Source organism: Homo sapiens, chromosome 19 (assembly GCF_000001405.40).
Source record: "Homo sapiens chromosome 19, GRCh38.p14 Primary Assembly".
NCBI classification, from domain to species: Eukaryota; Metazoa; Chordata; class Mammalia; order Primates; family Hominidae; genus Homo; species Homo sapiens.
This window is the reverse complement of record NC_000019.10, coordinates 19,515,938-19,537,771: the sequence shown is the minus strand read 5'-3', so window position 1 is coordinate 19,537,771 and position 21,834 is coordinate 19,515,938. Positions and strand designations below refer to the sequence as shown.

The 21,834-nt window shown below is 55.4% G+C and overlaps 2 protein-coding genes across 8 annotated transcripts, besides 6 other annotated features; both read right to left on the bottom strand.

Moving 5' to 3' along the window:
- Window positions 1-190: 190 nt before the first annotated feature.
- On the bottom strand, window positions 191-8,861 carry YJEFN3 (YjeF N-terminal domain containing 3). 7 transcript variants are annotated; one of them, NM_198537.4, is made up of 7 exons: window positions 8,781-8,861; window positions 8,259-8,408; window positions 5,032-5,140; window positions 2,628-2,738; window positions 2,322-2,435; window positions 2,093-2,243; window positions 191-453 (listed from the first exon to the last, which is right to left on the bottom strand). In NM_198537.4, the coding sequence occupies exons 1-7, from the start codon at window positions 8,837-8,839 to the stop codon at window positions 248-250; spliced, it is 900 nt and encodes a 299-aa protein (NP_940939.2). In that variant the 5' UTR covers window positions 8,840-8,861; the 3' UTR covers window positions 191-247. The 7 variants fall into 7 exon arrangements, with proteins under 7 accessions (NP_940939.2, XP_011526299.1, XP_011526300.1 ...); XM_011527997.2 differs by lacking the exon at window positions 8,781-8,861 and adding an exon at window positions 4,446-4,668 and having other exon boundaries at window positions 8,025-8,387; XM_011527998.4 differs by lacking the exons at window positions 8,259-8,408; window positions 8,781-8,861 and adding exons at window positions 4,446-4,668; window positions 5,259-6,265.
- Window positions 5,304-5,413: a silencer, noted in NCBI's record as "silent region_10446". NCBI's record gives its function as "represses an Ori minimal core promoter by ATAC-STARR-seq in GM12878 lymphoblastoid cells {active_cell/tissue: GM12878}" and the evidence as "EXISTENCE:reporter gene assay evidence [ECO:0000049][PMID:35858748]".
- Window positions 7,195-8,126: an enhancer, noted in NCBI's record as "H3K4me1 hESC enhancer chr19:19640455-19641386 (GRCh37/hg19 assembly coordinates)". NCBI's record gives its function as "activates a minimal SCP1, AML or CMV promoter by ChIP-STARR-seq in naive H9 embryonic stem cells {active_cell/tissue: H9 hESC(naive)}" and the evidence as "EXISTENCE:reporter gene assay evidence [ECO:0000049][PMID:30033119]".
- Window positions 9,102-9,602: an enhancer, noted in NCBI's record as "H3K4me1 hESC enhancer chr19:19638979-19639479 (GRCh37/hg19 assembly coordinates)". NCBI's record gives its function as "activates a minimal SCP1, AML or CMV promoter by ChIP-STARR-seq in naive H9 embryonic stem cells {active_cell/tissue: H9 hESC(naive)}" and the evidence as "EXISTENCE:reporter gene assay evidence [ECO:0000049][PMID:30033119]".
- On the bottom strand, window positions 9,574-21,547 carry NDUFA13 (NADH:ubiquinone oxidoreductase subunit A13). The gene is made up of 5 exons (NM_015965.7): window positions 21,440-21,547; window positions 11,512-11,590; window positions 10,420-10,491; window positions 10,002-10,071; window positions 9,574-9,765 (listed from the first exon to the last, which is right to left on the bottom strand). The coding sequence occupies exons 1-5, from the start codon at window positions 21,531-21,533 to the stop codon at window positions 9,646-9,648; spliced, it is 435 nt and encodes a 144-aa protein (NP_057049.5). The 5' UTR covers window positions 21,534-21,547; the 3' UTR covers window positions 9,574-9,645.
- Window positions 11,398-11,692: a silencer, noted in NCBI's record as "tiled region #9511; HepG2 Repressive non-DNase unmatched - State 17:Gen3'". NCBI's record gives its function as "represses a minimal TATA promoter and a strong SV40 promoter by Sharpr-MPRA in HepG2 cells {active_cell/tissue: HepG2}" and the evidence as "EXISTENCE:reporter gene assay evidence [ECO:0000049][PMID:27701403]".
- Window positions 11,944-12,919: an enhancer, noted in NCBI's record as "H3K27ac-H3K4me1 hESC enhancer chr19:19635662-19636637 (GRCh37/hg19 assembly coordinates)". NCBI's record gives its function as "activates a minimal SCP1, AML or CMV promoter by ChIP-STARR-seq in primed H9 embryonic stem cells {active_cell/tissue: H9 hESC(primed)}" and the evidence as "EXISTENCE:reporter gene assay evidence [ECO:0000049][PMID:30033119]".
- Window positions 21,369-21,648: an enhancer, noted in NCBI's record as "active region_14360". NCBI's record gives its function as "activates an Ori minimal core promoter by ATAC-STARR-seq in GM12878 lymphoblastoid cells {active_cell/tissue: GM12878}" and the evidence as "EXISTENCE:reporter gene assay evidence [ECO:0000049][PMID:35858748]".

Here is a 21,834-nt window from a genome sequence, read left to right as displayed (position 1 = left end):
GCTGAGATTACAGGCAGGAGCCACCGCCCCCAGCCCTAGCTGAAGTTTTCTAGGCCAGCGGGAAGTCCCACTCCACCGCCCTTCTCATGCTCCCCGCCTTGGATCACCCAGGGACCGTGTGAAGTCCCTCTTCGAGTGTGCCCACCCCCGCAGCGGGCCCGGTGCACAAAGGAGGCGGAGGCGAGGCGGCGGTGGTGGGAGGGCTGTTTATTGGCGAGGGTCCCTGCGGTGTGGCCGCGGGTGGCGGTCACAGTGCCGCGACGCAGTCGGTGCCCGTGTATCCCGGCAGGCGCAGAGCGAACTTGCGGCGCACGTCATCGGGCACGAACCTGCCGGCCACGAAGTGGTGGCGCCCGGAGAAGCGGCCAGCGCAGCGCTTGGGCGCCGCGAGAGACACCAGCACGTCAGGCCGCAGCCCGTCCTCCGAATCGCTGCCGGTCTCTGCGTCCCAGCCTGAGGGAGGAGGGTCCGGGGGGATTGGGAACTGGGAGGGTGGCCTGCCCTCAGCCTAGAGTCCATCCTGTCCCTGCCTCCTCTCCTCTCCCCTCCAACACTGAGCCTCTGCCCTCAGACCAGAGTCCTGCTGCCCCACCCCCACTTCCCCTCCCCCATCAGACCCAGCCTTTTCTCTCTGGCACATGGGTCCTGGTGAGACTTGTCGCCCCCTAGAACTCTGCCTCCGCCCTCAGACAAGTCTCTCCCAGTCCTTGGAGGTGTTTCCCTCCCAATCAGACCAGAGCTTCTGCACTCAGACTTTCTGCTTCTGCTCCTATCCTACTATTCAATCGCCCTCCTCCATCTGACCCAGCCTCTGTCTTCAGTCACCCAGGCTGGAGTGCAATGGTGCAATCTCGGCTCACTGCAACCTCTGCCACACGGGTTCAAGCAATTCTCCTGTCTCAGCCTCCCGAGTAGCTGGGACTACAGGCACACGCCACCATGCCTGGCTAATTTTTGTATATTTAGTAGAGATGGAGTTTCACCATATTGGCCAGGCTGGTCTCGAACTCCTGACCTTGTGATCTGCCCACCTCGGCCTCCCAAAGTGCTAGGATTATGGGTGTGAGCCATTGCGCCCAGCCTGTTTGTTTTTAAGATACAGTCTCTCTCTATTGCCCAGGCTGGAGTGCAGTGGCACGATCTCAGCTCACAGCAACCTCTGCCTCCCGGGTTCAAGCGATTCTCCTGCCTCAGCCTCCCAAGTAACTAGGACTACAGGCGTGCACCACTACACCCAGCAAATGTTTGTATTTTGTAGAGACTGGGTTTCGCCATGTTGGCCAGGCTGGTCTGGAACTCCTGACATCAGGTGACCCGCCCACCTCGACCTCCCAAAGTGCTGGGATTACAGGTGTGACCCCTGCACCCAGCCTCCGTCACCTCTTGAATGAGCCTCCACTTTCAGCCTAGGAGCCTTGCCTTCTCTCCTATCTCTGACTTGATTCTGGGGCCACTCACCAGAAGACACTGGATCCTCCCTCAGACTTTAATCCTTCTCTGACCCTAGCCACCACCCTCAGACTAGAGGTTCCTAACCATCCCCTCTGACCTGACAGAGCCACCCTCTCTGTCCTAGGCTGAGCCTGCAGCCTCCCTACTCAGATCAGACAGCACGCCGCCTCCCTTGGTGCCCCTGCTCTGTGGCACCTGCTGGGATGTCCCTGGGATCCCGAGAGCCAGGGGACATCCCCCGGAGTCCAGCCACCCCCACGGAGGGTCCGGCTGGCCAGCGGCTGTTTGTTCCGTCTGCCTGTCGCCTAATGGTTCCAACAGGCATGGGGCGGCAGCCAGGGCGGGCGCGGCCTTTGCCGAGTGAGCTCACGTCTGCCCAGGCAACTGGGCCAGGGGTGGGCAGAGGGCATGTGGGCTGGGCACTGGGGTGGAGGAAAGAGGAGACCTGGGGTCACCTGGGGTGGCAGCCTCGATCTTCCCCATCAGAGGGATGGGTGTGACCCTTAGCCTCAGCCAAGTGTGGGTCCATCCAAGCTGGGGAGATTGAGGTTCAGACAGGCAGGGGCGACCAGGAGCTGGGGCACAGGGGCCTCCACCCAAGCCCCCCAGGCCCCAATGTGCCCCCCTCTGCCTGGCATGCCTGAGGGGATGTCCAGGCTCACGAGGGGGATGGACAGCAGCTTGAGCGTGGCCAGCGCGCGGGTGCAGGGGCCCCCGACCTCGCCCGGCTCCACGCCGGGGCCCAGTACGGCATCCACCACCAGCCCATAGGCTTCGTTAATGAGCTGCACCTGGGGAAGGCAGGCAGGGTCAGGGTGGCCCAGGGCCACTGCACACCATGTCCCCCTTGCTTGCCACCCAGCGCTGACCTCAGTGGGCAGGTAGCTCAGGAAGGGGATGTCCATCTTCTCGCACTGGGTGGTCAGGTCCCGATGCAGCAGGTCCAGCGAGCGTGTGGGGTAGAAGATGGTGGGTTCATACTCCTGGGGGTGGGAGAAGAGGGGGTCAGACTCCCCTGACCTGGTCACCAGCACCAGACCCTGCCTGGGACAAGCACTGGGCATATTCTATAACCTGGCCCTGCGTCAATGTCCCCCTGGGAAGCTATCAAAAGAAGGCAGTGATTTCTGCAGGGGCAGGGACTTTGGGAGGTCGAAGGGGTCCTTGCTACTTACAAACACCCGCAGGTGCCGGGCACAGACCAGCCCCACTGCCCCGTTCTGCTCCGGGCCACACACGACCAGCACCGTCCTCTGCTTCCGGGAGAGAGCGGGCAACGGGAACGCCTGGTGGTAGGGGACACAGCAAAGGCACAGGCACAGTCCAGATTCCTCCTTGCCTGGAGAGGAAACTGAGGCCCGGAGTAGGGGAAGGGATGGGGCTTGGGCCTGGAGGCAACAGGATAGGACAGGAGGTGAGCTGTTCTGGATGAGGGGTTGGGCCTCTTGGGGCCTCAGTTTCCCCGCTGGAGATGCAGAGGCCCGGTCTCAGGCTCTGCCAGGTCGGTGCAGGAAAAACGTGCATCCAGCCACTGCCCGTCGCCCGGAGTGCGGTTTGTTTATTCTCCGCCTGAGTTGCAGACATTCTTCCACCTTTCTCACCGCGGGCCCACCCCCGCCCATGTTTCCAGACCTCAGCCCCTCCTGGAGGCTGTGGAGTAGGGGAGCCCAACCTTAGCCACGATGCCCTGGGGCCTCTCTGTCTCTCTCTGGCTGTCTCTGTGTCTCTCTGTATCTCTCAGACTCTCCGTGTCTCTGTCTCTCTGTGTGTCTCTGTCTCTCTGTATGTCTCTGGCTCTCTTCATGTCTCTCTCCCCACCTGTCTCTGGCTGTTTCTGTATCTCTCAGACTCTCTGTGTCTCTGTCTGTCTGTCTCTGTCTCTCTCCGTCTCTGGCCGTCTCTGTGTCTGTCTGTATCTCTCAGACTCTCTGTGTCTCTGGCTCTCTTTGTGTCTCTGTCTCTCTCCATCTGTCTCTGGCTGTCTCTGTGTCTGTCTGTATCTCTCAGACTCTAGTGTCTCTGTCTTTCTGTATGTCTCTGGCTCTCTTTCTCCATTTGTCTCTCTCTCCATTTGTCTCTGGCTGTCTCTGTATCTCTCTGTTATCTGTCTCTCTCCATCTGTCTCTGGCCATCTCTGTATCTCTCAGACTCTGTCTCTCCAGGCATTTTGGCCCCAGCCCTGCCCTGATTCTGCGTGGCCCCAGCCCCTTCTCTCCCAGACTCAGTTTGGCCTTTATCAAATGCGATGACAGTGCCACCGCCTGACAGGCACTCTGGGTGTCTCTTGAGCCCCAGCTGTACTTTAAGCTCCAACCACACAGACAGCAGATTACTCCCCTTTCAAGTATCCTCCCCAAAGGCTTAGCGCAGTCCTGACCTGCCATGAACATGCCTGCGATCCCAGCCACACCGGGCCCAGAGCCCAAGACCCAAGACTGGGACTGAGGGGCTTCTGGACAGACAAGGGGCTTTCAGTGCAAAAACCAGACAGTTGGCCACTGAGCGCCAGGCGAGTAGTGACTACTGGGTTTCTTTCTGGGGTTTTGATTTTCCTTCTCCTTTGGGCGCCTCACCCGGGATCTATTTCATTTGGAAATACAAACATTTAAGTCCACATGAAGAAAAACATTGAGTTTTTAAAAAGTATACCGTGGTAATAAGAAGAAAAAGAGGAGGAGGGGTGAGGAGGGAGAGAATGGGGAGGAGGAGGATGGGGAGGAGGTAGGGTAAGTGGGAAGGAGGAAGGAGAACAGGAGGAGGGGGAGGAGGAGGGAGAGGAAGGAGAAAGGAGAGAAGAAAGGGGCGGAAGGGGAGGAGGAGGGAGAGAGAAAGGAGGAGGAGGGTAAGAGGAGGGGGCAGGAGGAGGAGGAAGGAGGAGAAAGGCGAGGGGGATGAGGAGGGCAGGGGAGGAAGAGGAGGCAGTCACGCTAGAGCCTCGACTGTATGGGACAGTTTTCTGAGGCGTTCACGTTTAGGGACTGACTCGTCAGTACCATTTATTATGCTGTTGCAGAGGAAACTGATGCCCAGCACTGCTGGCTGCACGGTGAAGCACTCCATAGTATGATTATTGCTATCACCCTTGTGTCATCCTCCTGGCCCCTCGAGGTGTGGGGGTTTACTCCAGAGCCAGACACACCTGGGTTGCAGCTCTGCTTCCATCCCCCTCTGACCCAGGGCAGGCCCCTCGCCACCTCTGAGCTTCAGTTTCCCCACCTGCAGAACAGGGTTGTTTAGGGGTGTTCAGATCGCAGGAGCAGATGTCCCTGGTGCCCAAGACCCAGGAGGTGGCAGAAGCAGGCGGGTCACATGTGCAGGAGGGGTTGCACTTCCAGGGTCGTGGCACTGTCCCTGCAATAACCTCCACCCTGGCCTTCTCTGATACCAGGGGTCTCAGGTCCCCATCTGGCCTGCACCAGCCATGAGCCTCTCTGGGCCTCAGTTTACCCATCAGGCTGGGGTAGGCCCAAGCAAAAAGGGAGTTCTTGAGGGGTGAACCACCCTGGTCACAGCAGTCATGCAGCTCAGGAGAGTTGGCCGTCTGGTTGGGGTCAGGGTTGGGGGTCAGGGGTCAGGTACCTTGGTCACAGCCACGGCACTAGCATGACCGCACAGCTCCACGAGCTGCTGCCGCCCAAAGCGATAATCCTCCAGCAGCTCCCGCTCCAGGGCGGCTGCCTCCGCGGTGCTGGGGACAGAGTGGGATGGGACACTCAGAGACACACAGAGACAGAGCCTCAGATGGAGCCAGAAATGTTCCGCCAAGCTTCTGAACCCGGTCCCAATGCCACCCTCCCACCCCGTACCCCCGAGTAGCGTCTGCAGCCTTGAGCTGGGGATGCCCTCAGTTTCACCGTGCGACGCGCGGGTTGAATCGAGGCCTGGCGGGCCGCGGTGTGGGAGCCAAAGCCCGAGGCGCGGGCGCCCTCTGGTGGCAGAAGATGCGCTGGCCGCGCGTTGGTTCTACTGCTCCAAAGCGTGGGACACGGAACCGGACCTAGACGTCCCCAGCTCCCAAGGCGGAGGGAACCAAGAAAGGGGAATGGAGCATGAAGGACTTCGATGGGGGCGATGGGCTGATTTCAGGCAGTGGGAGCCACGGAACAAGCTTCAGGACGCTGAAAGGGGTGGACAGGACTGGGGGCATCTGGGGTCCATGGGTTTTTAAGGCTGCAGTGTTTGATGGCACACTCAGCGGGGAGGCCTTGGGGCCTGGGGCTATGAGACCCTTTGGTGACCGATTTTCAGGGGCAGTGACATAATTAGATTATTTGTGGCCAGGCCGGGCGCGGTGCCTCACATCCGTAATCCCAGCACTTCAGGAGGATGAGGCGGGTGGATCACTTGAGGTCAGGAGTTCCAGACCAGCCTGCCCAACATGGTGAAACCCTGTTTCTACTAAAAATACAAAAAATTAGCCAGGCATGGTGGTGGGTGCCTGCAGTACGAGCTACTCAGGAGGCTAAGGCTTGAACCTGGAGAATCGCTTGAACCCGGGTGGCAGAGGTTGCAGTGAGCCGAGATCGTGCCACTGCACTCCAGCCCGGGTGACAGAGTGAGGCTCCGTCTCCAAAAAAAAAAAAAAAAAAAAAAAAAAAAAAGGTTATTTGTTGCCAGAAAATGTGGCTACTTAGCTGGAGGTGAAGCTCTGCCATCCACTTCACTGAATGACTGGGGTCCGTCTCCACCTCTCGGAGCAAAACTGAATATTCGGGTGACCTACACAATTGGTCAGACTAGGCTGGGCGTGGTGGTGGACACCTGTAATCCCGGTGACCCAGGAGGCTGAGGCAGGAGGATCACTTCAATCTGGGAGGTGGAGGCTGCAGTGAGCTATGATCACGCCACTGCACTCTAGCCTGGGCGACAGAACAAGACCTTGTCTCTAAGATAATAATAAAAAACACAAACATAAATAAAAAGAGCCAGGCCTAGAAAAGTTGGAAAAACAACTAATGATTCAGAGAAGCCGAGTGGCTTGCCCAGGATCATGCAGGAAGCAAGTTGGGAAACTGGGTCTTTCCCCCTTGGTGTCTCCAGAGCCACAGGACATGAACAAAGACATAGAGCCAGACCTACAGATGGTGGATGTTTTGAGGGGATGAATCCTGAGACTCTTTCCTTCAACTCTCTGAGTGGGAGATGTCTGCCCTCTGGCCAATTTTGCAGCATGATAAGGCCAGGTAGGCAGAGTGCAGGAGAAGGAGGACTGCTATGGGATGGGAGTCAGCGAGGGCTTCCTGGAGGAGGAGGCCTGGCACATCGTGGCAGGTAATGCAGGGGCAAGAATAGCAAAAGCCAAGGCCCTGGGGTGGGGAGGAGCCTGGTATGTTCAAGGGGCAGAAGGGAGGCTGAAGCAGAGTGATCAAGCGGACAGGGCAGGCAGAGCCTCAAATCCCAGACTGAGGAACATGGTGAAGAGGACACTTCGGGGGTCCACACATAAAGACGGAGACAGAGACTCAGGGCAGGAAAGTCACATGCCCTGGGACACCCCAGTAAACAGAGCCAAATTCAAACCTCAGCCTGTCTGCAGCTGACATAGGATGAAGTTGAAGGACGGGGTGAGGAAAAGGAGCTCATGGTGAAGTCAGACAGAGTCCCCCCGGGGCAGGCCAGCGCAGCTCCCAGGAAAGCACATAGGAGGTGCGTTTGCATTCGGGGTGAGGAATCTGGCAGGCTGGGAACATGGCTCATTCCTCCACCTCCATCTTGTGACAGCTCTGACTGCTGCCCCCGCAGGAGGGTGCAGGGAGGAAGTGGAGGGCGGGAGGGCGATGCATTCCTCTTCTTCTGTCCCAAAGCTTTGGCCTCTAGCAGCCACTTGGAACATTCTCTTCCTGTCTAACTGGTCATTAGAATAATGGGGGCTCTGTGGGCAGAGGGTCGTCCAGGTTAGGAACCTGGGGGTGGGGCACAGCAGCAGCTGTGGGGTGGGGGTGGGAGGCTGCGTGGGAATTGGAGCCTGGTGAAGGAGGGTGGCAGGCAGGGCAGGTCCCTTCTGCTGTTGTGGGATTCTGGGGGTGTTCAGTGGTGCCTTTTGCTATCCCGAATCTCGGCCCCTAGATGAGAGAAGCTTCAAGGCCCCAAGGATTTCCCTGTCAGACCCAGGAGGCCTGAAGTGGCCTGGGTCCAAAGGGAACTGGGCCTGACACTCGCCAAATGCTTCCAGGAGGGGGCTTTCTGGGAGGTGAAACCTCAGGCCAGGGTGGCCATGCCACACTCACCCTGCTCTCAGTCCTACCTGCTTCTCTCCACCTCACACCTCTGCCCACCAGACCACCACGGGGGATCACCTGGCCGCACACAGCAGCCTCCTGCCCCCAAAACTCAACATGAGCCTGGGGGGGCTTTGAAAACTCGAACACCAGATTGCATCACCGGGTCCCAAACCTGCTGATGGCTCCCGAGGGCTCTGGGAACATTCAAACTCCAAACTCCTCACCATGCCTAAGAGGCCCTTCTGTGTCTCCAGCCTCGTCAGCCAGTTCCCCACTACGTTCTAGCTCCTACCCACCCCTGAGAGCCCCCTCACTCCCCTCACTTAGCATTTGAGGCCCCCCTCACCTCACCCCTTCACCCCAAGGTGAAGTCACAGCTCCTAAAACACTCTTCCCTAGACTGAGTCTGGACATCGGCTGAGGGGACACGTGCCCTGCTAGGTGGGCAGTGGGCAGGAGCTGTTGGACGCATCTGGTTCACAGTGAGGTCAACAGCCTTGCCTGGGGTCCCATGTCACAAAGGCTGAGGAGGATGAGGTGAGAGTCACAGCCACGGCGCCAGTTCTAGATCCCAAACTCACCAACCTCTGGCAAACAGGCCCTGCGTTCCAAATCTGCTCTAGCCATGACTGCCTTCCCCAGGCCTGTTTCCTCCTCTGGACAAGGGAGGTGGTAGCATTTGAGCTAAGCTCCGCTCTTCCCATGTCGGCAAGTGGGGGCTGCAGCTCCAAGGCCCTGGGAGAGATGGAGAGTGGGGGTGGGCCACGGTTGGGGTTCGGTGGGGGAGCGACCAGCGCTGCTGATGAATCATTCATGAGGGGCGGGCTGCCCCGGAGGCAGTTTCCCCAGCAACGCAGCTTAGTGTCTCCAGCAAGATGCCAGGAGGGTCTCGGATTCCCGGGATTCCCAGGCCCGTCTTGGCCATATCCCTGCCTCCGGTTCCCCACCGTGGTCATGCCTCTGCCGTTGAACCTCCATCCCGGCTGTGCCCGTCTCCAGTCCCCGGACCCCATTCTGTCCCAGCTATGACCCTGCCTCCGGTCCTACGGGCTGCTCCTGGCCCCATGGGAACCATGCCCGTCTCCAGCTTCCCTCTCCCCAGCTGACCTGAGGAAATGCCGCTCTTCGGGCGCCTCCGACGGGTCTGGGCCGGCTGCGCTGCTCATGGCCGAGGTGAGCCCGGGCGCCGGGCGCTGCCGCCACCGCCACCGCCTTTTAAGCGCATCCGTGGAGGGAGGGGACGCCCCCTCTTCTCCTCCCTCCCGCCCACCCTGCATGCCCGCCAATCAGGAAGCGCCGCGAAGGCGCTGCGCGTCACCATTGGTCGGTGGACTCAGACGGACTTCACCCTTTCGTGCCAGGAGCCCACAGCAGAGGCACCTGGCCAATCTTGGTTGCTTCCCCCGACTTACTTTCCCTGCAGATATCCCCGTGTCTCTGAGCTTCCCTCTCAGGGAGCGAGGAGCCCCTCCGCAGACAAATACCCTCGCCATGCCTACAATTGGCAGGGCTGCACAAGGTATGGTGGCTCACGCCTGTAATCCTGTAATCGCAGTGACACGGGAGGCTGAGGCGGGAGGATCACTTGTATCCGGGAGGTCAAGGCTCCCCCCACTCTCCAGACCTCCGTGGAGAAGGTCTGACCCAAAGCTGACCCAGGGGCCCCCAGCCTGGAGAGGTAAGTGGGCTGCTGACAGGCATGGTTTCAAAAGGGAGGCAGGAGAGTCCAGGTATATCGGAGGCAGAGAGGAGGCCGCCAGTGGATCCAGGGGCAGCCCCTAGGTGTGTTTTGAGGTCACCCTGTGCATATCTGCTGCGTCCCCATGCTACATGTGATCCGGTGGTGCCTAGCTGGGCCCTCTCCCCCTTCTTTCCCCCAGTCCCCAGGAAAACAGGCAGGCCAGGTCTGCAGAGCATTTATTCCGTCCCAGTGGGGAGGGGCAGGGATCCAGGTGGCCGGAGGGCACAGGGCCTACGTGTACCACATGAAGCCGTGGCTGGCATGGAGAGCCTCCTCTGTGGTGCGCAGCCCGTACAGCTCCCCGATCAAGGGGGGCACCCAGCGGGTTGTGTGGAACACAGACTCCCCCACCTGTGGGGACAGTGGGGTATGGGTAGAGGCACAGCCACCCATATACAGCCTGCTAGGACCCATCCCCCAGGATCAGTGGCCCCTGTGCGTGGCAGGCGCTACAGCCTTCCCTTGTGGGACCTGGCACCCACCACCCCCTTGGTCCTGGGGTTTCTATAGAAAGCTGTGGGAGCTCCCCAACCCCAGGCCCTGTCTCTGCCGTGGCTGGCACCTCTGCCCTCCCAGCCGGGACCCACCTTCCAGTCGGGCACGTCCTTCATGATGATGGCCTCCTCCTCCAGGTTCTCCCGAAGCATCTGCAAGGTCCTGTGGGGATGGGGCCGATGGTGGGGGTGGGGCCTCAGTGCCCTGAGGGGCCCCTGCCTAGGGCCCCTAGTAGCACCCCTTCAAGCCTCCCTCCGACCCTGTCTCCTTTTCCCCCAGCCAACTCCTAGCTTTTCTCTTGCCCCAACCCCAGTGCTGCCTCCTCCTCCAGGAAGCCTTCCGGTTCGCCCCCTTGGGTCTCCACTAAGTCTCCACGCCTGAGGATGCAGCTGACGGCACAGGGCGATGGCCCCCACGTGCATTCTGGCCACCTTCGGGGATGCAGGTCAGGCCCTGCAGCCTGGGGCCTTCCGGCCAGTGACCTCCCAACCTTGGCCCCTGCGGTGCTACCTCCGGTCGGTTTCTGCCTGTAACAGTGGCAACAGCGCGATGCGAGCCTCGAAGTCCTCGATTTGTAGGCGCCTGTGAAAGCCCGAAACCCACACTCAGGTCAGACCAGGCTAGGTCGGGGGAGCACAGGCAGCACAGACCTCAGGGGCCAGGGTGCTGCTGGGGGAAGAGGCGGAGGGGGGCGGGGAGGCAGGCAGGGGGCAGGGCGAGGGTCGCGGGAAGGGCAAGGGCTGTGGGCAGAGCCCACCAGGAGCCTGAGAGGAGGGCGGGTGCAGGCAGCTGCACGGGTGACTGCCCACAAGACTGTTGGCTTTCTACTTTCTTTTCAATTAAAAACTTTTTTTATCCTAAAAATAACTCTGCCTGATGATCGCGACGAAGAGGGGGTGACTTCATCACGGGGCTCTGGGCCTCACAAAACCACGTCCCCTTCATCTCAAAATAATCAGTGTGTGAGGCTGGGGCAGGCGGGGCCACAATCTTTCCTTTCTTCTCCCTGCTTTCTGGCAGTTTCCAAGTTCCCTGCAATGACCCCCATCTCCCAGTCCTGCCTGGCCTGCGTTGGGGTTGGGGGAGGGGTGGGGAAGGAGTGCCCAGCCTGTGACACAGGGAGAGGGGGGCGCCTGGCCCTAGTTCATCTGGCCCTGTGTGTCCACTGCCTGGTGTGGTCTGGTTTGAGCCTGGTCACCTCTGACAAAATCCTGCTTAGAGGGCCCGAGGCAGGCCCCCCACTCATATCCTGTCCTAATCTGGATCCACGGGTCCCAACCCTCCTCACTAGACACATTTTTTGGGGTGGCGAGGACAGGGTTTCCCTCTGTTGCCCAGGCTGGTCTTGAACTCCTGGGCTCAAGCAATGCTCCCACCTTGGCCTCCCAAAGTGCTGGGATTGCAGACATGGAGACATCTCGAGGACAGAGCCTAGAAGTGGAAGTGCTGGGTCTGGATCTGCACTTTCTGGGGCCTGGGATTGCACAGCCAAGTCCAAGGGGCCCGTTCACCCCTCGCCAGCACAGACAACAGCGGAATGCTACAGGACCCCGACAACTCGCCGGGGGGGCACTTTCAGACAACGCCCACCAGGGGCCCTACCTGCGCTCACGGTTCCACTTCATTATGCTCCAGTGCCCGTAGATCAGGGTTCCAATCCCTATGGCCAGCATGCTGTAGCCTGTGAAGAGAGGCGCTGCTCAGCGGGCCAGCCCGCCCCCAGACACCCTCCTCCACAGCTCCAGGCGCTGCCCACTCTGCAATCAGGGGACACTGGCGGCTTCTCAGGAGTGAGGCTGCTTGGACTGTGACACCTCTGCCCCCATGCCAGGGGTTTTCTGAAAGGTACAAGCCAGGCAGCAACCTCAGGAGGCCTGAGGGTCTAGATGGTGGTTGCTAGGGGGGCCCCAGGTCCATCGTGTTCTAGAAGGCTGTTTGGACCCTGGGCGGCAGGCTGGCCCTGAAGTGGAAGGGCAGTTCTGACAGTGTCCATGGTGGCTCCCGGCCACCTGGGCCACAGTTCCGCGTGCTGCCCTGCGGGGGCTGCACACAGCTGCCAGGGACAGGCAGTGCCCTGTGGGGGCTGCCCAGCCACCCCCCGGACTCTAGGGGTGGCCGTGCTACCTCTTGGCTCTGCAGGGTGAAGCCCCCTGCCCTGCACCCCAGGAAGGACCTAGGCCATCATGAATATTTACTGAGCACCAGTGGGGCCTTGCTCTAATCCTGACTGACAGGCTGGGGGCCCACTGGGATCTTCAGAGAGGCCTGGGCTGTCTGGGATCTGGCTCCCAGGCTCACCCTGCACCCTCCAGATCCTTCCAGCCCCAGTCTCTTCTCTGGACAGGCTTTGCACTTGGTGGGATGAATGAAAAGCTCAGGTAGGCCAGGCTCCAGTCAACACCCAGGAAATGACCAGCAGGTGGAAGGCAAGGCCATCTCCAGGCCTCCAGGGCACTGGCCCTGCTCTATGCCTGCTGGGGCTACTCTGTGCCTGCCGGGCCCTGCTCTGCACCTGTCATGCTCTTCTGCCTTCAGCTCTGCTCCAGCATGGAGCTCACGGGGGCACCTCTGCTAGACCCGGAGATAAATGAGAAACTGGCTCAAATTTGTACCTGGTTATTTAACCTGTTAGAAGCCCAAGTCAGGGCTAAGACATTTCCATACTACAGGTAATGAGGGTGTGCTGGGTCCGGGCTCAGAGGCACATCTCTGGAGAGGCCCAGGGTGCTCAGGGCCAGCTCCCAGCTCTCAGCCTCCTGTCTAGCACATGGGAGGTTTCATCAGCTGCCTTGTTCATTTTTTTTTCCTTTTTTGGTTTTTGGTTTTGAGACAAGGTCTCACTCTGCTACCCAGGCTGGAGTGCAGGGGCGCAATCATGGCTCAATGCAGCCTCCAACTCCTGGGTTCAAGTGATCCTTCCACTTTAGCCTCCCGAGTAACTGGGACCCCAGGTGTGTGCCATGTCCAGTTAACTAATTTTTGTACAGATGGGGTCTTGCTATATTGCCCAGGCTGGTCATATCTCGTTCTTTTCTTTTTTTTAATTAATTTATTTTTGAGACGGAATCTCACTCTGTTGCCCTGGCTGGGGTGCAGTGGCAAGATCTTGGCTCACTGCAACCTCTGCCTCCTGGGTTCAAGCGATTCTTCCACCTCAGCCTCCGGAGTAGTTGGGACTACAGGCGCCCACCACCACGCCAGGCTAATTTTTGTATTTTTAGTAGAGACAGGGTTTCACCATATTGGCCAGGCTGGTTACGACCTCCTGACCTCATGATCCACCTGCAAGTGCTGGCATTACAGGCGTGAGCCACCGTGCCCGGCCATATCTCATTATTTTCCACGGCTACAGAGAACCCAGGGGACAGACCTGGGCTGCCCTCAGCCTTCTGGTGCAGAAAATGGGCCCTTGGGGAGAACCTGCACCCTCACACCTGCGCACTCATACGCAGGCCCATCTGTAAGATAAATTCCAAAGAAGAAATAAATTCCAAAACTTATCCCACAGCTGTGTGTACAAGACAGCGTGGCACTGGCATAGAACAGAGATGTATGAGATGACAGAAACAATGCAGGGCCTCTTGTATTTGCATGCAGCCTGCACAGGGCTCTTCCTCCTCGCCAACCACAGGGGGGCCAAGGCCCCAGGCCTCAGAGTCTGTGCCTTAGGAACTGCTAGTCTGGTGGGGAACATGGTGAGGGGCACGCACAAAAGGGTGTGTGGACCATTCTTTTTGTTTTTGGTTTTGGAGACCGGGCCTCTCTCTGTTGTCCAGGCTGGAGTGCAGTGGTGGGATCAAATTTTTTCGGCTCACGCTTGTAATCCCAGCATTTTGGGAGGCTGAGGTGAGAGGATCACTTGACTAGGAGTTTGCAACTAGCCTGTGCAACACAGTGAAACATTTACAAAATACGTATTTTATTTTATTTTTTGAGACAAAGTCTCGCTCTGTAGCCCAGGCTAAAGTGCAGTGGTGCGATCTCAGCCCACTGCAACCTCCGCCTCCCAGGTTCAAGTGATTTTCCTGCCTCAGCTTCCTGAATAGCTGGAATTACAGGTGCACGCCACTGTGCCCAGCTAAATTTTTGTATTTTTTAGTAGAGACGAGGTTTCACCATGTTGGCCAGGCTGGTCTGGAACTCCCAACCTCAGGTAAATCCATCTTCCTCGGCCTCCCAAAGTGCTAGGATTACAGGCATGAGCCACCATGCCCGGCCCAAAATACATATTTTTAAATTAGCTAGATGTGGTGGCACGTATCTGTGGTCCCACCTACTTGGGTGGCTGAAGTGGGAGTATCACTTAAGCCCAAGAAGTCAAGGTTGCAGTGGGCTGAGATGGCACCACTGTACTCCAGCCTAGGTGACAGAGAAAACTTTGTTTCAGAAAACAAAACCAAAAACAAAAACAAAAAAAAAAGAAAAATATATTTTTCATAGAAACAGGGTCTTGCTATGTTGCCCAGGCTGGTCTTGAACTCCTGGCCTCAAGCAATCCTCCCACCTCAGCCTCCCAGAGTGTTGGGACTACCAGTATGAGCCACTGAGCCCGGCCTTGGCCATTCTTAAGAGAAGACCAAAATAAATAAAAACCCATCCTGTGTTCAAGAATTGGAGCACTTAGCATTGTGCAGATGGCAACGCTGTGCAAACTGATACAGATTTGAAACGCAATCCCCATCAGAATCCCAACCATTTCTTTTCCTGTTGCAGAAACTGACAAGCAGGTTGGGAAATTCATATGGAAATGCAAGGGACCAGAACAGCCAAAACAATTTTGAAAAAGAACAAAGTTGAAAGACTCACACTTCAGTATTTCAAAACTTATCCCACAGCTGTGTGTACAAGACAGTGTGGCACTGGCATAGGACAGAGATGTTCATCAATGGAACAGAACTGAGAGTCCAGAAATAAACCCTCACATTTATGGTCAATTGATTTTGGACAAAGGTGCCAAGATAATTCAATGGGAGAGAAAACAGTCTTTTCAACAAATGGGATAACCAGACAGCCACATGCTAAAGAATGAGGATGCGTTCCTTCTTTATACCATCCACAAAAATTAACTCAAAAGGATCAAAGACCTGCCGGGCGCAGTGGCTCACGCCTGTAATTCTAGCACTTTGGGAGGCCAAGGCAGGCGGATCACGAGGTCAGGAGATCGAGACCATCCTGGCTAACACGGTGAAACCCTGTCTCTACTAAAAATACAAAAAATTAGCCGGGCGTGGTGGCTGGCACTTGTAGTCCCCGCTACTCAGGAGGCTGAGGCAGGAGAATGGCGTGAACCCGGGAGGCGGAGCTTGCAGTGAGCCTAGATCGCGCCACTGCACTCCAGCCTGTGTGACAGAGCAAGGCTCCATCTCAAAAAAAAAAAAAAAAAAAGGATCAAAGACCTAAGCGTAAGAGCTGAAACTATAATACTCTTAGAAGAAAATGTAAGTCACTCTCTGTGACCTCAAACTAGGTTTCTTAGATATGACACCAGAAGCACAAGTGACAAAAGGAAAAATACAGAAATTGGACTTCATTGAAATTATTATTATACATGTATTTTTGAGATGGAGTCTCACTCTGTGGCCCAGGCTGAAGTGCAGTGGCACAATCTCGGCTCACTGCAAGCTCCGCCTCCCGGGTTCACGCCATTCTCCTGCCTCAGCCTCCTGAGTAGCTGGGACTACAGGTGCCCGCCACCGCGCCCAGCTAATTTTTGTATTTTTAGTAGAGATGGGGTTTTGCCATATTGGCCAGGCTGGTCTCAAACTCCTGACCTCAAGTGATCCACCTGCCTCTGCCCCCCAAAGTGCTGGAATTACAGGCATGAGCCACCGTGCCCAGCCCGGACTTTATTGAAATTAAAAACTTTTGTGCTGTAAATGAAACTATCAATTAGCTGAGAAGACAACATATGTATACACAATCTTACAACTCAATAATTCAATAATTTAAAAAACCCTACTAAGCCGGGCGCAGTGGCTCACACCTGTAATCCCAGCACTTTGGGAGGCCGAGGCGGGCGGATCACGAGGTCAGGAGATCGAGACGATCCTGGCTAACACAGTGAAACCCCGTCTCTACTAAAAATGCAAAAAATTAGCCGGGCGCAGTGGCAGGTGCCTGAAGTCCCAGCTACTCGGGAAGCTGAGGCAGGAGAATGGCGTGAACCCGGGAGGCGGAGCTTGCAGTGAGCAGAGATCGTGCCACTACACTCCAGCCCGGGCGACAGAGCAAGACTCCATCTCAAAACAAACAAACGAACAAACAAACAAAAAACCCTACTAAAAATATATAAAGGATTTGAATAGACGTTTCTCACAGACAGACATACAAATGGCCAATAAACACATGCAAAGGTGGTGGTTCACTCCTAGAATCTCAGCACTTTGAGAGGCTGAGGCGGGAGGACAGCTTGAGCCCAGGAGTTCGACACCAGCCTGGGAAACACTGAGGCCCCATCTCTTGAAAAAAATAATAAAAAATAAAAATAATAAAACACATGAAAAAATGTTCGACATCATCAGCCAGCAGTGATATGCAAATCAACGATCAATGACCAGAAAACTGAGCAAAAAAAGACCCAAAAAGAATTTTAAAAAACTCCACCATAATGAAATACCGCTTCACATGCGCTAGGATGGTGGCTATGATCAAAAAAATGGAAAATAATCAGTGTTGTTGAGACGTGGAGAAATTGGGACTCTCATACATTGCAGGTGGAAGCACAAAATGGTGCAGCCAATTTGGAAAACAATTTGGCAGTTCCTCAAAATGTTAAACACGAAGTTACCATATGATCCAGTGGTTTCTCTCTTAGGGGAAAGTTCACAAGGGAAAAATGAAAATCTACATCCATACAAACACCTGTACAGCATGAATCTTCATGGCAGCCATACTCACATTATTCACAGCAGCCAAAGAGTAGGTGGATGACCCAAGTGCCCATCAAAAAATGAAAACACAACACTTGGTGCTGGATATTAATTTGCCAGAAACAAAAGGCCACACGGTCTATGACTTCACTGATAGGAAATGGCCAGAACAGGCAAATCCACAGAGAAGGAAGCAGATTAGTGTTTGCCAGGGGTGGGATGATTGCTAATAGGGAAGACGGGGTTTCTTTTGGGTAATGAAAGTGGTCTAAATTCTGATCATGGCAATGGCCATACAACTTTGTGAATATACTAAAAAATCAATAAATTGGACACACTTCACTATATTATTATTATTTTTTTTGAGATGGAGTCTTACTCTGTTGCCCAGGCTGGAGTGCAGAGGCAAGATCTTGGCTCACTGCAACCTCCGCCTTCCAGGTTCAAGCGATTCTCCTGCTTGAGCCTCCCAAGTAGCTGGGATTACAGGTGTGCACCACCATACCCGACTAACTTTTGTATTTTTAGTAGAGACAGGGTTTTGCCATGTTGGCCAGGTTGGTCTCCAACTCCTGAGCTCAGGTGATCCATCCGCTTTGTCCTCAAAGGGCTGAGATTACAGGCATGAGCCACCGCTCACAGCCATTAAATTGGACAGACTTTAAATGGGTGAGTTGTGTGGTATGGTATTGGAACCTCAATAAATATATTAAAGACACAAGATGAAAAGGAAAGGGCTGCCTGCTAGGCTCAGGAGGGAGTGGGGACAGGAGAACTGGGTGTGGGAGATAGTGGAGGAGGTGGGGTGAAGTCACTTCAGAAGCGGCATGGATTAAAAGGGGCCTGAGCCAGCCGGGCGCAGTGGCTCATGCCTGTAATCCCAGCACTTTGGGAGGTTGAGGTAGGTGGATCATGAGGTCAGGAGATCGAGACCATCCTTGCAGTGAGCTGAGATCGCGCCACTGCACTCCAGCCTGAGTGACAGAACAAGACTCTGTCTCAAAAAAAAAAAAAAAAAAAAAGAGAACAAAAAGCAGCCTGAGCCAGCCCATCATGTCCTGGGACGCTGGCAGTGAGTGAATGGCTGACCCAGGCAGACAGAAGGGAGTGGGTGCCAGGCTTGGGGCCACCAGGCCTTGGACAGGAGCACAGAAGGTAGGTCTGGTGGGAAGGCCACTGTGGACCATGGCTCAGGAGAGGCAGGAGAGGAGGACAGAGGGAGAGGAGGCAGGGCCTGTGTGTTTGCTCTTTTTCTGCAGAGCAGGCTTCTTCTCAGAGGTCCTCCTGGCACATCCTGGCTTAAGTGGGCCCAGGTTATCCCAGGCCTCACCAACAACTAGAAATCCTGGCATGATGTGTTGTATCTCTTCAGCTCAGCTGTGAGCGCTTGGGGACAGGGCCCGGAACCATGTGCTCACTCAACAATGAAAGCAGGGCCATAAACAAAGAGCACACCAGCATAGGGGTATCCTCCTCACTCCTCCACCGGGAAAGGCTGGGGTGGGTGTGTATGTGCTGTAACAAAAGTCCACACCATTAGGAGACACAACCCCAGGCAGTGGTATTTAGGGCACTGTCTGGCACAGGGGGGGCCACTGCTCTGTGGTGAACTGGGAGAGGACCAGGGTATTTATACAAAAATGAGATGCTGGAAGCAGGGAGCTCAGGGAGCCTCCAGGCCTGAGGTCCTTCTGTGGCCTGGTCTGGCTGCAGGTCACACAGGTGCATATTTGGAAACAGACCTTGTGCTGCACACCTGAAGGGGTGGGGTAGCCCAGGTTACACCGGAGAAGAATGAGACTCGGCCAGGCGTGGTGGCTCATGCCTGTAATACCAGCACTTTGGGCGGCTGAGGCAGGGGGACCACCTGAGGTCAGGAGTTCGAGACCAGCCTGGCCTACATGGTGAAACCCTGTCACTACTAAAAATACAAAAAAAAAAAAAAAAATAGGCCGGGCCCAGTGGCTCACACCTGTAATCCCACCACTTTGGGAGACCAAGGCGGGCAGATCATCTGAGGTCAGGAGTTTGAGACCAGCCTGACCAACATGGAGAAACCCCATCTCTACTAAAAATACAAAAAATTAGCTGTGCATGGTGGCACATGCCTGTAATCCTAGCTATTCGGGAGGCTGAGACAGGAGAATCGCTTAAACCTGGGAGGCAGAGGTTGCGGTGAGCCAAGATTGCACCATTGCACTCTAGCCTGGGCAATAAAAGTGAAAACTCCATCTCAAAAAAAAAAAAAAAAAAAAAAAAAAAAATCGCAGGGCATGGTGGCGCCCACCTGTAATCCCAGATACTAGGGAGGCCGAGGGAGGAGAATCGCTTGAACCTGGGAGGCACAGGTTGCAGTGAGCCGAGATCACGCCACTGCACTCCAGCCTGGGTGACAGAGCAAGACCTGGTCTAAAAAAAAAAAACACACACACAAAAAACAACAACCAAAAAACAAACAACGCCAGGCGTGGTGGGTCGTGCCTGCAATATTAGCACTTTGGGAGGCCGAGGTGGGTGGATAACCTGAGGTCAGGAGTTCGAGACCAGTCTGACCAATATGGTGAAACCCCATCTCTACTAAAAATACAAAAATTAGCCGGATGTGGTGGCATCCAACTGTACTCCCAGCTACTCGGGAGGCTGAGACAGGAGAATTGCTTGAACCCAGGAGGTGGAGGTTGCAGTGAGCCAAGATCGGGCCACTGCACTCTAGCCTGGGTGACAGAATGAGACTCTGTCTCAAAAAATAAAAAAGAAAGAAAGAAAAGAAAAAAGAAAAATGAGGAAATAGAATGCATTATATTCCTCCAATGTGTTCTGGGACAGCACTCATGGGCCAGATCTAGCCTGAAGCCTCTTTTTTTTTTTTTTAATTTTTGGTAGAGGTGGGGGTCTCACTATGTTGCCCAGGCTGGTCACAAACTCCTGGGCTCAAGCCATCCTCCCGCTTCAGCCTCCCAAAGTGTGGGGATTACAGGCATGAGCCACCTGGCTCACAGGCAATCTGTTTTTGTAGAGCCCCCAGGCTAAGAACACTTTCCATTTGTAAATGGTTGTCTCAGTAACTGAAACTTTCTGGCCAGCCAAACCCAAAATACTTGTCATCTGTCCCTTTTATAGAAAAAGTCTGCCAATCTCAGTTCTGGGATACAAGAAAAACAAGAGGAGGTTGGCCGCGGTGGCTCATGCCTGTAATTCCAGCACTTTGGGAGGCTGAGGCTGGAGGATCACTTGAGCCCAGGAGTTTGAGACCAGCCTGGTCAACATAGCTGCACCCTGTCTCTACAAAAAGTAGAAATAAAAAATAAAAAAACCAAGAAGGGGCTGGGGAGGACTTTTCACCTCACACTGATTTTTCTACTGTCTGAATTATTACGTTTTTAATTACCATGCTCATTTTTGTGTGTGTGTTAAAATTGAGGAATAATGTGCATAACATGTAATTTAAATGTAAAGTTTGATTTGTTAAGAGACATGCATTCTGCCGAGCACGGTAGCTCATGCCGATAGTCCCATCACTTTGGGAAGCCGAGGTGGGTGGATCACTTGAGCCCAGGACTTCGAGACCAGCCTGGGCAAGATGGCGAGATCCCATCTCTATAGAAAATACAGAAAGCTGGGCGCATGCTTGTAATCCCAGCTTCTCAGGAGGCTGGGGTGGGAGGATGGCTTGAGCCCAGGAGGCGGAGGTTGCCAAGAAATCACTCCAGCCCAGGCAACAGAACCATACCGTCTTAAAAAAAAAAAAAGAAATGTATGTATTCACTCTTAGATTACGTTTAAAAGTTTCTATTTGTCTGTTAACCTGGGGACTGAGTATGGGCGCCTTTTAAGTTCTCTTTTTCAATTTTCTGTGCTGAGCCCGATAACAAAATTTAACGTGTTACTTAAACATTTGAAAACTTTACGCCGGGCATGGTGGCTCACGCCTGTAATCCCAGCACTTTGGGAGGCCGAGGTGGGCGGATCATCCGAGGTTGGGAGTTCGAGACCACCCTGACCAACATGGAGAAACCCCGTCTCTACTAAAAACACAAAGTTAGCCAGGCGTTGTGGCACATGCCTGTAATCCCAGCTACTCAGGAGGCTGAGGCAAGAGAATCGCTTGAACCCAGGAGGCGGAGGTTGCGGTGAGCCGAGATGGCGCCATTGCACTCCAGCCTGGGCAACAAGAGCAAAACTCCGTCTCAAAAAAAAAAAATTGAAAATTTAAAGAATATGGATTCCTGTGACACCATGCAGGCGGGGGCTGCCAGCAGGGAACCACTGCATAGAACATCTTGTAAATTCCCTCCAGGTTCCGGGTTGCGGCCTCAGCTTTGCCTTGGGGAGCCGCGGCCTTCTTTGGGCCTCAGTTTCCCCATCTTAGAAATCCAAGGGTGGCTGAGGGCCAGAGCACAGGCTATGACTCAGTTTAACCCACTGTAAAACGTAAATAACTAGAGGGACCGATTTCCTGGGCTGTTACGAGAAGGAAGAGGAGCTGGGAAAGACCTCAACAAACTGCAGCACTTAGCGTTATTACAGAAGCTATGATGGATCCCCGGGCTCCGCCTCCGGTCACACCGCCGGGAAAACTGAGGCCCGCCTGTGTCCCCGGAACCCCGCCCCCGAGCCCCGAGTGCCCAGACTCTGAGACCCCGGCGCAGAGTGATACTGACCCGACAGTCCTCGACGCGGCAAGTTCCGTTTGTAGTCGATGGGCCCATAGCCCCCCGGCGGAGGCATGTCCTGCTTCACCTTTGACGCCGCCATACTCGCAGTATCCCACACTTCCGGTCCCGGGCGGAAGTGACTTACTGCCACCGCCATGATGAGTGTGGCGGAAGCACTTGAGATGGTCCGCGGCACGGCTAGGAAGTCCCGGACAGTAGTGTAACTATCCGACCGCGCGGGAAAGCTCTGGCGGCGGACCCTGGGTAGGAATGCGCTGCCGGGCTGCAGCTGAGGGGTCTTTACTCCTCTTTTGCCCAGACAGGGCGTGACTCGCCTTGGTTCTTGCATTATAGGCCCTCGCGTTCACCTTGCCTCTGGGGTGTTGCGCAGGCCAGTCAGA